The sequence below is a fragment of the Homo sapiens genome (genome assembly GCF_000001405.40).
Source record: "Homo sapiens chromosome 15 unlocalized genomic scaffold, GRCh38.p14 Primary Assembly HSCHR15_RANDOM_CTG1".
Taxonomy (NCBI): domain Eukaryota; kingdom Metazoa; phylum Chordata; class Mammalia; order Primates; family Hominidae; genus Homo; species Homo sapiens.
Window position 1 is genome coordinate 381,570 of NT_187382.1, and position 15,981 is coordinate 397,550.

The 15,981-nt window shown below is 38.6% G+C and overlaps 1 protein-coding gene and 1 pseudogene across 1 annotated transcript; both read left to right on the top strand.

Annotated features, from left to right (window-relative positions):
* LOC105379529 (olfactory receptor 4N2-like) overlaps positions 1–15,981 on the top strand; it is a 67,679-nt pseudogene that overhangs the window by 30,016 nt on the left and 21,682 nt on the right.
* On the top strand, positions 4,700–5,759 carry LOC102723532 (olfactory receptor 4N4-like). The gene has a single exon (NM_001395471.1). The coding sequence runs from the start codon at positions 4,709–4,711 to the stop codon at positions 5,657–5,659; it is 951 nt and encodes a 316-aa protein (NP_001382400.1). The 5' UTR covers positions 4,700–4,708; the 3' UTR covers positions 5,660–5,759.

Here is a 15,981-nt window from a genome sequence, read left to right on the forward strand (position 1 = left end):
AAAGAGTCTTTGTGAACATCATTTATTTTTCTTTGCCTATTTCTTTGTCATCAGAAATATGTTGAATTTACCATACTACCTACCTGACCACATTACTTCTTTTCTTGATCTATCAATGATTTCCTATTATACACTTTTTTAAAAAAAAAAAGTAACGTAAGAAATAAAATAACCTCTTTTGGCTTTCTGCCCACATGGACCTAGTAAACATGCTGACTATTCTGTAATATGTGTCACTGATAGAATGTTGATTTTAAAACTTAGAAGTGACATAGTGACTTTTAAATCATATATACTTCACTATTTATATATAACATGTTTCTAGTCTCATTCTTTGACTATATTTTGTTGGCATTTTAACAATTCCCTTTGAAAGTGTTTGCAGCTTTGTTAGCCTTCAAATTCCCAAAGTACATTCTCCATTGCATCACAAATTGGTTGCATAAGAGATTCCTCTGTGAGAAGAGATATTTAACAATGAAGTCAGGAAAAATTAGTTATTGTTCCTTCTATTAGAAGGAGGTGATATCTGCTGTTTGACAGGAGCATTAGATTACTAGAGAGGTAAATGTTTTTCCATTCTCCATATTTATAAGGAACATAAGGAAGAAATGGAAACATATTGTAACACCTCAGGTGGGACATCTGCTGCCTTGAAATGCAAAGATCAGAATTATAGTGATTATATAGGTTATGGGTTTCAAACTAGAAATAGATTAATATGTTTAATCTGAATTCAGTAATACAGTAGCACCTTTTACCTGGTCTTAATAATATAGCCCCAGTTTCTCCTAATATTTAGAATTAATTTATTGGGAATATATAAAGCCTTTATTAACATTGCCTTGGGAATGTTTATACTTGGTCCTAAACCTATAGCTATTAACTGAAAGACGTGAGGGAACAGAAGTCATATCCAATGCAGAAATGCTAGGCTGCAGAAGAAATCTTCACCAACTTCACGATTTTGCAGGAGACTAGCTCTGTCTAGTTCCCACACCTGCTGGGATGAGAGGTTCTTTTACAAAGAGTCTTACCATATACCAATCTGGGGCTTTGACAGCTGGCTGAAATGAAGCCTTCATAAATTCTTTTCTAGTAATTTCTTACATTAACATAGCTACCTTTACCCCAGCAACTCATTTCAAAGGCAGGGACAGAGGATCTATATTATATATTTACTTCTTAGAAACTAAAGCCCCTCTTAATATCTACATTTTTTCCTTGTTTAGTTTTGGTTTAGTCAGACTTCAATATGCTACTTATTGCTATCATTCTCATATTATATTCATAAATCAACACAGTGAGATAAAATAACTCAGGCTAAAGAAGATGACCTTCCCAAGATCTCACGGTTAAAAAAATTGCACAATGAAGAACTTAAACCCAGATAGATGCCCAAACGAGGGCTTTTTAAATGACATCCATTACTTTGCCTAGAAATCATGGCATTATAAACATTGGTATCAGTTAATGATTTGATGATACTCTAACTTTATCCACATTTCTCAGAACACACAAAAAATTAGTGATTATATAGGTTATGGGTTACAAACTAGATAGCACATATTAATAGACATCACATTCTTATTCTTATTTTGGGAACATTTCTAAAATGTGTTTTTGCTGGTAGGGTGGATTAATGAGAAATTTCTTTCAAGCAGAAAGGTGAATAGTGCCACTTTTATTAAGATCAGTTATAAACAGACAAAATATTTGAGGTAATGGGAAATAATTTAAAAGTATTTACACAGTATATTTTAAGTAGGATACTATTCAAGGAAAGTAATTTAGTACTGAAAGATGGGTTAGGTATTTTTAACCCTTACAAAAATTGGAGTGAAGAAACTTCATGTGCTGTCCTTACTACTGTTTCAAAAGAAAACAATAGTGATGCTTCTCAGAATTAATGGGAAGGCAAACATGAGATCTAATAAAGGAGAAATGAATAGAGAAGAAGAGAGTGGAAAAATATTGGAAACTGCAAGAACATTGAGAAGTAAAAACAACAAAGGAGAAAAAATAGAAGAGATAAGAGAAAAGCAAGGGGAATCATTAGAGAACAAATACGAGAGAGAAAGAGAAGATAAAATAGAGAAAGAGAAACCAACTTAAGTAAAAGTATAACTTAAAAAATGAAGTGTAGAAATATTTAGCGAGATGGGAGGGGAAGATAATAAAATAAATATTTTAAAAGGAGGCATGAGGAAATATAAAGAAAAATGAGTGAATTAGTGCCTGTGGATGGGAATCAAATCTCCAAATACCTGCTCCATGAACTTTCTAACAAGAGCCTGGACTCTAAACGTGAACAGTGCATAGCGCAGCCTTTATCTGGAATGTGTGTGTGCCCCCACCCATCACTCTTTCCTCTTCTGTGCTGCTCCAGCATTGTCAGGAACAGATGAAATTTTGTTTCTGTTGAAATTGAAATATAGGATAGAGGGAGTGGCAGTCATTCAGATTTCTATTTCAGCTTCCACTGACAGTGATCCTTCTAACATTGTTATGTTCTTCTAATATAGTTAGACAAGACCAAGCTTGTCTTTGCAGGAATTTCTGTGCTTTTATTTTGCTAGGACTTACTTCATTTTACCTAGAGGAATGTCCACCTTATGAATATATATATTTGGTTTCTGGATCCATAATGAGCATGATGTGAGCACTATCCATATAACAAAAGAGCTTAGAGGGAAGCACACAAAGGGAACACAGTGAATCAAAGATATTTGATGGTAGAGGGTTCCAGATGTTACAGAGTCAGTAGGAGAACAGAAGTGGATAACAGGGAATAAAATGCAAGGTACAGTGCAAGAACCTGAAACTCCCAATCTCAGAGATACTTGAAAGTTTCTCCTATGACCCAAATACATCCTCAATTTTTGAAAGAGTATGAAATAACCAACTGCATAATAACATGCAAGATGTACACAACTTAAGAGTAAGCAGAGAGGGATTCCCGACTTTTCTATTAGCAGGTTTTATATGCACAGAAAGACTGATAAATATTAAGGTCAATAAATGGCCAAGTGCCAAAAAAAAAAAAAAAGAAAAGAAGGGTATGATATGTAAAATTTTATGCTTCTGTTTTGGTTAGGATACGTGTGTTTGCGTGTATTTATTTGTGTCTGTGTGATGTACATACATGTGATGTAAGATACTTTTTTTTGTTTGAGACAGAGTCTTGCTCTGTCACCCAGGCTGGAGTGCAGTGGTACAATATGGACTCACTGCAACCTCCACCTCCCAGGTTCAAGCGACTCTCATGCTTCAGCCTCTGAAGTAGCTGGGACTACAGGCTCCTGCCACCACGCCCAGCTAATTTTTATATTTTTAGTAGAGTCAGGGTTTTGCCAGGCTGGTCTCGAACTCTTGGCCTCAAGTGATCCACCTGCTTTGGCCTCCAAAAAGGGTGGGATTACAGGTGTGGGCCACAGTGCCTGGCCTAGGTACTTCTTTCATAATTCCCAATTCTGACCATACCTGAAAACCTCTGCTATTAATTAATATATTAGGATTAGATATATTTTGAAAAGCATATCTTTTGATGTTTTAAATAGATGTGCCATTATAAATATTTTCTTTGATTTCTTAATTCGGGACTTTATTGTTTTTGTTTCCCTCTCTTCTTACACACCGACTCCTCATTCAGTTAGTTAATGAACCTCTTTCCCTCTACGCTTCATAGTCCACATTATTTTAAAACAAATGTGCTGTGTAACAGAAGCATATGAAATATTTTTCTGTATCACATTGTAGTATTTTGTTCTAGCTCAAGATCTTTAGCTTTTAAATTTTTTTATTTCAACCACAAACCATTTTTTGAACATGCACCAAAAACATACGTATCTTCTTTATGCATTTCATATCCAATTACATCATGATTCTATATAAATGTAAAATGTTCAAAAATAAAACTTCAAACAATAGGATACAATAATGTAAGTGTAGAAATTCTCCTATTATTGCTTTCATACCAATAAATTATCATGCACATCCCCAAGCATGAGCACAGTCTCAATTTGGAAGCCACTGTACAGAGAAGCCTCAGATCTTGTTTTCTCCAGAGTGACTGAGAGCTTTTTATTTAGACCAGTTCATTTGGTTGATGTTCTATAGAGAAAAGGGAATTATTTCTGGTAAGTACAGTTGCCTTTATAAAAGTTTTTAGATAAACATTCCTAAGGTAGCATTTATATAAAATAAATTGTACTAATTGCTGTATAGTTCAATACTCAATAAATTTTGACAAAAATAGATACATATAACCATTATAATTAAAAACGGAACATTTCTGTCCCCTTGAAAAGTTCTGTCATTCTTCTTTGCTGTCAATCCCAGCTCATCTTCCATTCAAAGCAAAACATGAAGACCTCAATAACTGGGGTTAAGTTTTTTCTCAGTCAGAAAAATTTTCATATGCCTCATACAAATCAGGAACAAATTCAGAGCAGTAACATCCAAGTCTCACATGAGTGAACACTTAAACAGAAGCACAGGACTGAAACAGAAGAAAGAGTGTGGCTTCAGGACCAGGGTGTTGGCTATCATGAAATGAGGAAGCATAAACAGTAGAAGTGATTTCTTAGGTTGTTGAGATAGATAGAATAATATAAATGTGGCATACCTTGTGTTTAGTTCAAGAACTATAATCTAGATGTAACACCTGAAAATAAACTCTTTTATTGATATTCTACAGGCAGAAGAAATGAAGATAGCAAACAACACAGTAGTGACAGAATTTATCCTCCTTGGTCTGACTCAGTCTCAAGATATTCAGCTCTTGGTCTTTGTGCTGATCTTAATTTTCTACCTTATCATCCTCCCTGGAAATTTTCTCATTATTTTCACCATAAGGTCAGACCCTGGGCTCACAGCCCCCCTCTATTTCTTTCTGGGCAACTTGGCCTTCCTGGATGCATCCTACTCCTTCATTGTGGCTCCCAGGATGTTGGTGGACTTCTTCTCTGAGAAGAAGGTAATCTCCTACAGAGGCTGCATCACTCAGCTCTTTTTCTTGCACTTCCTTGGAGGAGGGGAGGGATTACTCCTTGTTGTGATGGCCTTTGACCGCTACATCGCCATCTGCCGGCCTCTGCACTGTTCAACTGTCATGAACCCTAGAGCCTGCTATGCAATGATGTTGGCTCTGTGGCTTGGGGGTTTTGTCCACTCCATTATCCAGGTGGTCCTCATCCTCCGCTTGCCTTTTTGTGGCCCAAACCAGCTGGACAACTTCTTCTGTGATGTCCGACAGGTCATCAAGCTGGCTTGCACCGACATGTTTGTGGTGGAGCTTCTGATGGTCTTCAACAGTGGCCTGATGACACTCCTGTGCTTTCTGGGGCTTCTGGCTTCCTATGCAGTCATCCTCTGCCATGTTCGTAGGGCAGCTTCTGAAGGGAAGAACAAGGCCATGTCCATGTGCACCACTCGTGTCATTATTATACTTCTTATGTTTGGACCTGCTATCTTCATCTACATGTGCCCTTTCAGGGCCTTACCAGCTGACAAGATGGTTTCTCTCTTTCACACAGTGATCTTTCCATTGATGAATCCTATGATTTATACCCTTCGCAACCAGGAAGTGAAAACTTCCATGAAGAGGTTATTGAGTCGACATGTAGTCTGTCAAGTGGATTTTATAATAAGAAACTGAGAAGGAGGAATTCTGGCTGGAATTCATATCATTCATTTAACAAGTCCTGTTTTTCACTGAGTACCTCCCATTTGCCAGGTACCATTGTAGGCAATGGAGGAGAGTTATGCATAATGAGAGAATAAACTTATTATATTTAAAGAATATAAAGGAAACCCCAGAGTGGTTGAAGTATAATGAGTAAGTGTGAGAAATTTAAGGGTTAAGTTTTATGTGACTGCAAGGGTCTTTCAGTCTGAGGTAAGAATTTTTTCATATTTTAATTGTGGTAAGAACCCATTTTAATGTTTTAAGCAAAGGAGCAGTTCATCTACAATGCTTTCCTCTACTGGTTAGAGCAACATCAGCAAGATTTTAGGCAGAGATTAATAAACTGTAAAATATCAAAAACCAAATGTATGTTGCAAGTATGTTATGAAAAAGACTATAGTATTTTATATATATAAATATATTAAAATTATATATATTTTAATGTTTTTATATATATTTTATATATATGTATATTTACATATATATAAAATAAGTAATATATTTTTATATATTTATAAATATATATTTTTATATATTTATAAATATATATTTTTATATATTTAATCAATATATAAATAAATATATATTTCCCCCCCAAAATTTGGTGGTGAGATAAGAAAGGAAGCCAATTTGTTTCATGGTAAAATGTCATGAAATTATTCCACTTATTTTTTCTTCAGAGCTTCACGATGATTATTAGACATTATTAGATATTTAGTACTTCAGATTGTATTATAGATTACATAAATCACTCCAGTTATTTTCAACATAGTGAAGCAGCTTCGTTGTCTGGGGAAATACCTGCAGTTCGTTGTCTTGTGCTGTGCCGATTAATGACACAGACTCACACACGGAGTGGGTTAAGGAACAGAAAGTTTATTAGGCAAGAAGGAAGAGAAGAGCTTCCCCATACAGAGGGAGAAGGACTCTGAATGGAGTAACCCCACTTGTGGGGAAAGCAGTCAGTTATATTGGGAGGCTCAGGGAGGTAGTGTCTGATTTGCATAGGGCCCAGGGGATTCCTTTGACCAGGTGTGTCATTCACACAACCCATGAAAAGACTGGCCCTCCCACCCTAATCTTTTATTCTGCAAATGCGGCTTCTACCTGGCTGTCGCCATGATGCCTGCACATGTGGCTTTACTTGGCTGGTGCCATGACAACTGCACATGTGGCAACAAAGGAAAGTGAGCGGGAACAGTCATATTGAGTGGACCTGGCTCTTAGCCACCTGCATTTACTTCTCCAAGCCTGTAATTTACATACCTATGCTTCCAGCATGGCTTTTCAGGCTGCTTTCTGTTAGAAAAGAAATGGTTTGGGGGCTGCTTTTTTATTAAAAGGAAAAGCCTTTCTGAGGACTCTTTTACCCTTTCTAGCTGCCTAAAAATAATTTCTTAATAACTCCTGTATTAATAGTGGGGTCTAATGTGAGAAATTAGGTACTTATAAAATTTTTCAAGTATAGAAGACCATTATTTATGCTGGGCATCTATTATAGAAATTGTTACCAGAAAAACACTGTAGAACTAACCTGCTAAGTGACCTATCCCTGCCATAACCAGGAGACTGAGAGGACAAGAAGCCACTTTCCCAGCTCTTGGCTCAGGGAACACATCAATCAGCCATGGTCTGGCATGAAGAGAATTGTAGAGAGCACCTCTCATGTTATTGTCTCTCTAATTATTTTTTCTAAATTAAATTTTGTATGAGTATATTTGATAGAATCTGTAATGGTAGTGGCAAAAGTCTTTGACAAACCTGTCTGTGTGTTGACAGCTTCTTCAGAAAGCAAACAAAAATGGTGGTAAAATATAGGATAAAAAGTTTGCAATCTTGGAGGTGAGAAAGGCCATTGAAGTTTGACAAAGAAAATGAAAATAAAAAGATGTATTAAATCTTGATATCTGCTACATATTTTGATATGTAAAAATGAAAAAAGTTTATATGGGCAAAAGGCAGAAAAACGCTGAAAATATTTCTATGGCATATAGATGTGGAGATTATTTTCTGCATGATTATAAGGTTTGCATGTAAATTGAATATTTTTTCCCTACTCCAAGATTGTATGAGAGGGCATCCATGAATAAAAATTAAAATAAAAATTACTAAAAATCGATATAAACGATAAAAATTTATCTAATACATAAATAATTTGCTTAAATGAATATGAAATAGGTACATAGAAGGAAATGTGGGCAATGAACAAAGGAAAAAAACGAAAAGGCTTATAAGCATGAAAGTAAGCTTACCCTTAAAAATCAACCACAGAAATGAAAACCACTGATTTTGATTAGCATGTAGGATAATGTTGCTCATGTATTATCAATAAAAAAGTACAGAATAGGGTGAGGTGCCAGAAGCAGCTATCATGTGCCACTCATGGAGAGGGAGACAGGGTGGTGAGTAAACACTAGCTCTTCACATGGATCGTCCATGAGGCCATGTTAGGATTCACCAAGGAAGCAACTGCAATCGATGGACAGCAGAAAGGGGCCAGGCAGGAAAGCAGTCCACCCAGGATTGGCATAGAGCCAGGTGAGGCTCCCTACCATAGGGAAAGGGTGAATAAGAACCTCCTGGGACCCACACTTCTGCCATGGGCCTTTGCAATCCTGGCACAGGAGATCTCCCGTGACCCCGAGGGGCTTCCAGACCAACACAGAGAGGTTACTGGAGTCTGGGCAGAGCTGCAGCTAGGGTCACCTGGAGCCCCATGAGCCGTGGGGCCCTGAGCACCTTGGTGCCAGCTGCCATAGCCACACCAACAAGGGAGGCCAGCTCTCTCGCATGCCCCTAGAATAGGGGCTGCATCCACGGTGCTGAGGAGCAGACTGACCGCAGGCCCCGCTTGCTTCATCAAGCCAGGCAAAGCCCACTGGCCTGGGTCGCCCACGCAGCCACCCCACTCCCACCTGAGCACTCAGGCCAGTCAGGCTCTCCATTTCTTTGGAAAGGAACTCCCAGAGGTAACCAATAGGCCTGAGATTTCTGGTACTGTGGTCTCCCACATGCCGCCCTCAGGCTGGGGAGGGATCGAAGAGCGCAGGAACTATCCTAGACCTTCAGCAAGGCATACGAACAGCTGTCATACGGAAAAGTGGCCAGATTATTTTCCACGTGGGTCCCTGTCCCAGCTACTCCTCACTGGGCAGGGCCTCCGAGCCTGGGGTCCCAGCACAGCTGCCCCACCCCCACCCGTTCTTTCATTTGGCGGTGGCCCTAAGTTTCTCTGGGGTAGAGCTCCCAGAGACAACCGGCAGGCTCTGTGCCACCCCTAGCTGAGTGTAAGGTCCTTCCTTGCTCCCCGCAGGCTAGGTAGGGAACAAAGAGCCTGACTGCAGCTGTCCTAGGGAGAGAAGGCCAGATTGTCTTCCTTGCGAGCCCCTGACCCCGGCTACTCTTCACCAGACACGGCCGGCTTTGGCCCACAACACAGCCGCCCCACCCCTGGATCCTTCACCTTAGCAGTAGCAGTAGCTCTGGGTGGAGTTGCCAGAGGCAGCTGACAGGCCCTCTGCCACTGCTGCCACCCCCAGGGCTAGGGAGGGAACAAAGAGCCTGCTTGCTGTGCTTGCACATCCAGCATGCCACAGCTGCACTACGGAGAGGAGGTCAGACAGTCCCCCCAACAAGCCCCCGATCCCTCTGCTCTCCACCAGGGAGGGCCCTGGGCTTGCGCCCACAGCACAAACGTCCCATCCCGGGCTGATCATTCTGGTTGGCAGCGGCTCTGAATTTCTCTGGGGTGGAGTTCCCAGAGACAACTGACAAGCCCTCTGCCACCGACACCGCCAAGGTCCCCTTCCCTGCTCCCCCAAGCAGGGGAGGGAATAAAAAGCCCGAACTCGCCCCAGGTCCAACACTAGAGCGGGAAGAGAAACCCACACTCCCAGAGCACCGAGAGGGGTAACCGCATGAGTTCCTGGGCTGCTGTGGGAGCGGGGCGCGCCTCCCTCTGCAGGAGGAGCCTGGAAAAGGTGTGGCCTATCTCCCTGCGGTGGCCTCTGCCTGAGGGAGCCCCGCAGCCTGGAACACCTAGCAAAAGAAATGATGGTGCAGTGCTAGTGATCGGAGGGGGTTCCCCCAAGGCTCAGGAGCTGACCTGGTGAGGGGGTCACTTCTTTCCCCGCTGTACGGGAGACCAGGCTGTAGATGTGAGGAAGTACAAAGGAACCACAGGCCTGAGCAAGAGTGTATTTACCGTCCATTACTCTTAAGCGACATCTACTGGATTGCAGCCAAAACTGCTACAACACCAAAAATATTTTGCTAATATCCCCCAGTGAAATCAAAGGCAAGAATCCAGCCACAAATAAAGACCCTGCACAAAGCCTTGGCTATCTGAAAACATTCAGAAACAAAGCCAAGTGACTATACTCAAATTACACCACAGGTAAAGGAACGCCAATGCTTCCAGATGAGAAAGAATCAGTGCAAGAACTCTGACAATTCAAAAAGCCAGTTTCCCCATACCTCCAGATGAGTCCACCAGACCCCAAGCAATGATTTTTTTTATTTGCTTTCCTTATTTGTTTGCTTGTTTGGAGATACCTTTTACTTTTTTAATTTTAATTTTTTAATTTTTAGGTTCAGTTATACATGTGCAGATTTGTTATATAGGTAAATTGCTTGTCATTGGGGTTTGGTGAACAGATTTATCACCCAGGTAATAGGCATAGTACCTGATAGGCAGTTTTCTGATCCTCACCCTTTTCCCACAGTCCAATCTCAACTATGCCCAAGTATGTATTGTTCCCTTCTTTGTGTTCATGTGTATTCAAGGTTTATCTCAAATTTGTAAGTAAGAACATGTAGTGTTTAGTTTTTTGTTCCTATGTTGGTTCACTCAGGAAAATGGCCTCCAGCTCCATGCATGTTGCTGCAAAGGATATGATCTCATTCTTTTTATGACTGCATAGTATTCCATAGTATATTTGTACCATATTTTCTTTATCAAGTTCACCATTGATGGGCATCTAGGTTGATTCCATGACATTGCTATTGTGAATATTGCTACGATGAAGGTACTTGTGCATGTGTCTTTATGGTAGAATGATTTATATTTCTTTGGGTATATGCCCAATAATGGGATTGCTGGGTTGAATGCTACTTTGGTTTTAAGTACTTTGTGAAATCACCACACTGCTACCCATAATGGCTGAACTAATTTATATTCCCACCAGCAATGCATAAACATTCCGTTTTCTCTGCAAACTTGCCAGCATGATCTATGATTTTTTGACTTTTTAATAATAGCCCATCTGACTGGTGTGAGATGGTATCTCATTGTGCTTTTGATGTGCATTTCTCTAATGATTAGTGATGTTGAGCATTTTTTTTCATATGCTTCTTGGCCAAGTGTATGTCTTATTTATTTTTTTTGAGATGCAGTTTCACTCTTGTCACCCAGGCTGGAGTGCAATGGTGCAATCTCGGCCCACTGCAACCTCTACCTCCTGGGTTCAAGAGATTCTCCTGCCTCAGCTTCCCCAATAGCTGGGATTACAGGCACCTGCCACCATGCCTGGCTAATTTTTGTTATTTTTAGTAGAGATGGGGTTTCACCATGTTGGCCAAGCTGGTCTCGAACTCCTGACCTCAGGTGATCCACCCGCCTTGGCTTCCCAAAGTGCTGGGATTACCGGCGTGAGCTACTGCGCCCAGCCTTGACTACTCTTTTTTTTTTTTTTTTTTTTTTTGATGGAGTCTCACTCTGTCACCAGGCTGGAGGGCAGTGGTGCGGGCTCGGCTCACTGCAACCTTTGCCTCCTGGGTTCAAGCAATTTTCCTGCCTCAGCGTCCCGAGTAGCTGGGACTACAGGCGTGCATTTGCAAATACTTTAACCTATTCTATAGGTTGTCTGTTTACTCTGTTGATAATTTATTTTGCTGTGCAGAAGCTTTTTAGGTTAATTAGGTCACATTTATTAATTTTTGCTTTTGTCATCTTTGTCATGAAATCTTTGTCAGGGGCTATGCTGAGAATGGAATTTCCTAGGTTGTCTTCCAGGGTTTTTATAGTTTGGGGTTTCACATTTAAGTCTTTAATCCAGTTGGATTGATTTTCATATATGGTATAAGGGAGGGGTTCAGTTTCCATTTTTTGCATATGGCTACCTAGTTATCTCAGCACCATTTATTGAATAGGGAGTGCTTTTCCCATTGCTTGTTTTTGTCAGCCTTGTTGAAGATTAGATGGTTTTTGTTTTTAGTTCTGTTTATGTGGTGAATCACATTTACTAATTTGCATATGCTGAACCAACCTTGTGTTCCAGGGATAAACCCTACTTGATTGTGTTGGAGTAGAGTTTTAATGTGCTGCTGGATTCAGTTTGCTAGTATTTTCTTTTTTTCTTTTCTTTTTTTTTTTTTTTTTTTTTTTTTGCTAGTTTTCTTTTTTTGTTGTATCTCTGCCAGGTTTTGGTATCAGAATGATGTTGGCTTCATAGAATAAATTAGGGAGGAGTCCTTCCTCCTCAAATTTTCAGAATAGTTTCAGAGGAAAGGTACCAGCTCTTCTTTATGCATCTGGTAGAACTCAGCTGTGAATTCCTCTGATCCTGGGCTTTTTCTGGTTGGTAGGCTTTTTATTATTAACACAGTCTTGGAACTTGTTATTAGTCTGTTCAGAGTTTCAGTTTCTTCCTAGTTCAATCTTAGGAGGTTGTATGTTTCCAATAATTTATTAATTTCTTCTAGTTTGTGTGCATAAAGTTGTTCATAGTAGTCTCTGAGGGTTTTTAAAAAATATTTCTTTGGGGTTGGTGGTAATGTTTCCTTTGTCATTTCTGACTGTGTTTATTTTTATCTCTTCTCTTTTTTGCTTTATTAGTCTAGCTAGTGCTCTATCAATCTGATGTGTTATTCTGAAGCAACAAAACCTGGATTTGTTTATCTTTTGTATGGTTTTTTGCATCTCAATTTCTTTCAGTTCAGCTCTGATTTCAGTTATTTCCCTTCTCTTGCTAGCTTTGGGACTGATTTGCTTTTGTTTCTCTAGTTCCTCTTGGTGTGATGTTAGGATGTTAATTTGAAATCTTTCCAATATTTTGATGTAGTTTTTTTTTTTAGTGATATAAACTTTCCTCTTAATACTGCTTTATCTGTGTCCCAGAGATTTTGATACGTAGTATGTTTGTTCTCATTAGTTTCAAAGAATTTCTTGACTTCTGCCCGAATTTCGTTGTTTACCCAAAAGTCATTGAGGAGAAGGTTGGTTAATTTTCACGTATGCTTTTGATGTATTTTATTGTATTGATTTCAATGTTTATTGCATTGTAATCTGAGAAAGTGTGGTTTGTATGATTTTGGATTTTTTGAATTTCCTGAAAATTGTTTTATGATTGATTGTGTCGTTGATTTTAGAGTATGTGCCATGTGCAGATGAGAAGAATGTATAATATTCTAATGTTTTTGGGTGGAGAGTACTGTAGATGTCTGTTAGGACCATTTTGTCAAATGTTGAGCTCAGTCCCGAATCTCTTTGTTCATTTTCTGTCTCAATGCTCTAATATTGTCAGTGGGTTGTTGAAGTCTCCCAGTAGTATTGTGTGGTTATCAAAGTCTCTTCAAAGGTCTCTAAGAACTTCCTTTATAAGTCTGGGTACTTCTGTGTTAGATGTATATATTCTTAGGATTGTTAGGTTTTCTTGTTGAGTTTAACCCTTTACCATCATGAAATACCCTTGTCTTTTTTGATTGTTATTGGTTTATAGTCTATTTTGTCTGAAATTAGAATCAGACCATTTGCTCTTTTCTGTTTTCTTTGGCTTGGTCTATTTTTTCTCCATCCCTTTATTTTGAGCCCCTGGATATCACTGCATGTGAGATGGGTCTCTTGCAGAGAGAATACAGTTGGGTCTTGCTTCTTTATCTGACTTGCCACTCTATGCCTTTTAAATGCCTTGAAGCATTTAACCCATTTACATTCAAGGTCACTCAAGGTTAGATTGTGTCTTTCCCAGCAATGATTCCTAAACCATAAGAAATTACTGAAATGAGAGACATAGAATTCAGGATCTGGATGTCATGGAAGCTCATTGAGATTCAGGACAAATTTGAAATCCAATCCATGGAATCCAGTAAAATGACAGAAGAGCTGAAAGACAAAATAGCCACTTTAAGAAAGAACCAAACTGAAACTCTCGAGTTAAAAATTCACTAGAAGAAGTTCATAATACAGTTAGAAGTATTAACAGCAAAATAGACCAAGCTAAGGAAAATATCTCTGAGCTCAAAGACTGGTTCTTTGAATTAACACTGTGAGACAAAAATAAAGAAAAAACAATTTTAAAAGTGAACAAAACTTCTGAGAAAGATTATATAAAGAGACCAAATCTACAACTCATTGCCATTACTGAGAGAGAAGGACAGAGAATAAACAACTTGGAAAATAAATTCGACTATATAGTCCATGAAAATCTTCCTAATCTTGCTAGAGAGGATGATATGCAAATCCAAGAAATACAGAGAATCCTGGCTAGATATTGTACAAGATTTACAAGGCACATAATCTTCAGATTCACCATAGTTAATGCAAAAGAAAAGGGATCTAGAAAGAAAGGTCGGGTTATGTATGAAGGGAACTCCATCAGGCTAGCAGCAGACCTTTCAGCAGAAACTTTATCAGCCAGAAAAAATTAGGGGCCTATTTTTAGTATTCTTAAAGAAAATAAACTCCAACCAAGAATTTCATATCCCACCAAACTTAGCTTCATAAGTGAAGGAAAAATAAAATCCTTCTCAGAAAATAAAATGCTAAGGTAATACATTTCAACTTAGCTAGCCTTATAACAGGTCCTTAAGGGAGTGCTAAACACGTGAACAAAAGAACAGCATCTGCTGCCACAAAAACACGCTTAAGCACATAGCCCATAGACACTATGAAGCACTACACAGTCAAGTCTATAAAACAGCCAGCTAACAACATGATGACAGGATCAAAATCTGACATATCAATATTAATCTTAAATGTAAGTTATCTAAATGCCCTACTTAAAAGGCATAGAGTGGTAAGTTGGATAAAAAGGCAAGACACCACTGTCTGCTGTCTTGAAGAGACCAATCTCATATGTAATGAAACCCACAGGGTCAAAGTAAAGGGATGCAGAAAGATTTGTCATGTAAACAAAAAACAAACAAAAAATAGTAGGGGTCACTATTTCTTATAGCGTATAAAACAAACCAACAACAATTACCAAGGACAAAGAAGGGCATTACATAATGATAAAGGGTTCAGTTCAACAAGAAGACTTTATCCTAAATGTATACACACTGAACATTGGAGCACCCGACTCATAAAACAAGTTTTTCTTGGCCTACAAAAAGACTTAGACAATCATACAATAATACTGGGAGACTTCACTGCTCCACTGATGGTTTTAGATCGTTAAGGCAGAAGACGAACAAAGAAATTCTGGACTTAAATTTGACACTTGACTAATTGGACTTAATAAACATCTACAGAACACTCCATCCAACAACCATAGAATATTCATTCTCATCTACACATGGAACATATTGTAAGATCAACCACACGCTTCGTCAGAAAGCAAGTCTGAATACATTCAAAAACACTGAAATCATCCCAGGCACATTCTTGAACCACAGTGCAATAAAATTAGAAATAAACGTCAAGAAGGTCTCTCAAAAGTACACAAATTCATGGAAAGTAAACAACTTGCTCCTGAGTAACTCATGGGTCCACACTGAAATTAGGCAAAAATCAAAAAAATTCTTTGAAATTAAAACAGGGACACAACTAACCAAAATCTCTGAAATGAAGCTAAAGCAGGAAATAAAACTTTTTATATAAATAAGTAAATAAGATAATAAGAGGAAAGATTATAGCACTAAATACCTTCATCAAGAAGTTAGAAAAATCTGAATTTAATAATCCAACTTTGTACCTAAAGGAACTAGAAAAAAAAAAGCTCAAAGCTAGCAGAAGAACAGATATAACTACAAATAGAGAAAAACTTAATGAAAGTGAGATGCAAAAATATGTACAAAAGGTCAGCGAAACCAATAATTGGTCCTTCAAAATAAAAATAAACAAAATTGGTAGATTGCTAGCTAGATTAACATAGAAAAAAAGCTGAAGACCCAAATGAGTACAATCAGAAATAACAAAAATGATGTTGCAACTGATCCCACAGAAATACAAAAGATACTCAAAGAATACTATAAGCAACTTTATGCATACAAATTAGAAAATCTAGAAGAAATGGATAAATTCATGGAAACACACAATCTCCCAAGATTGAATCCCTGGAAGAGATTGAAACCCT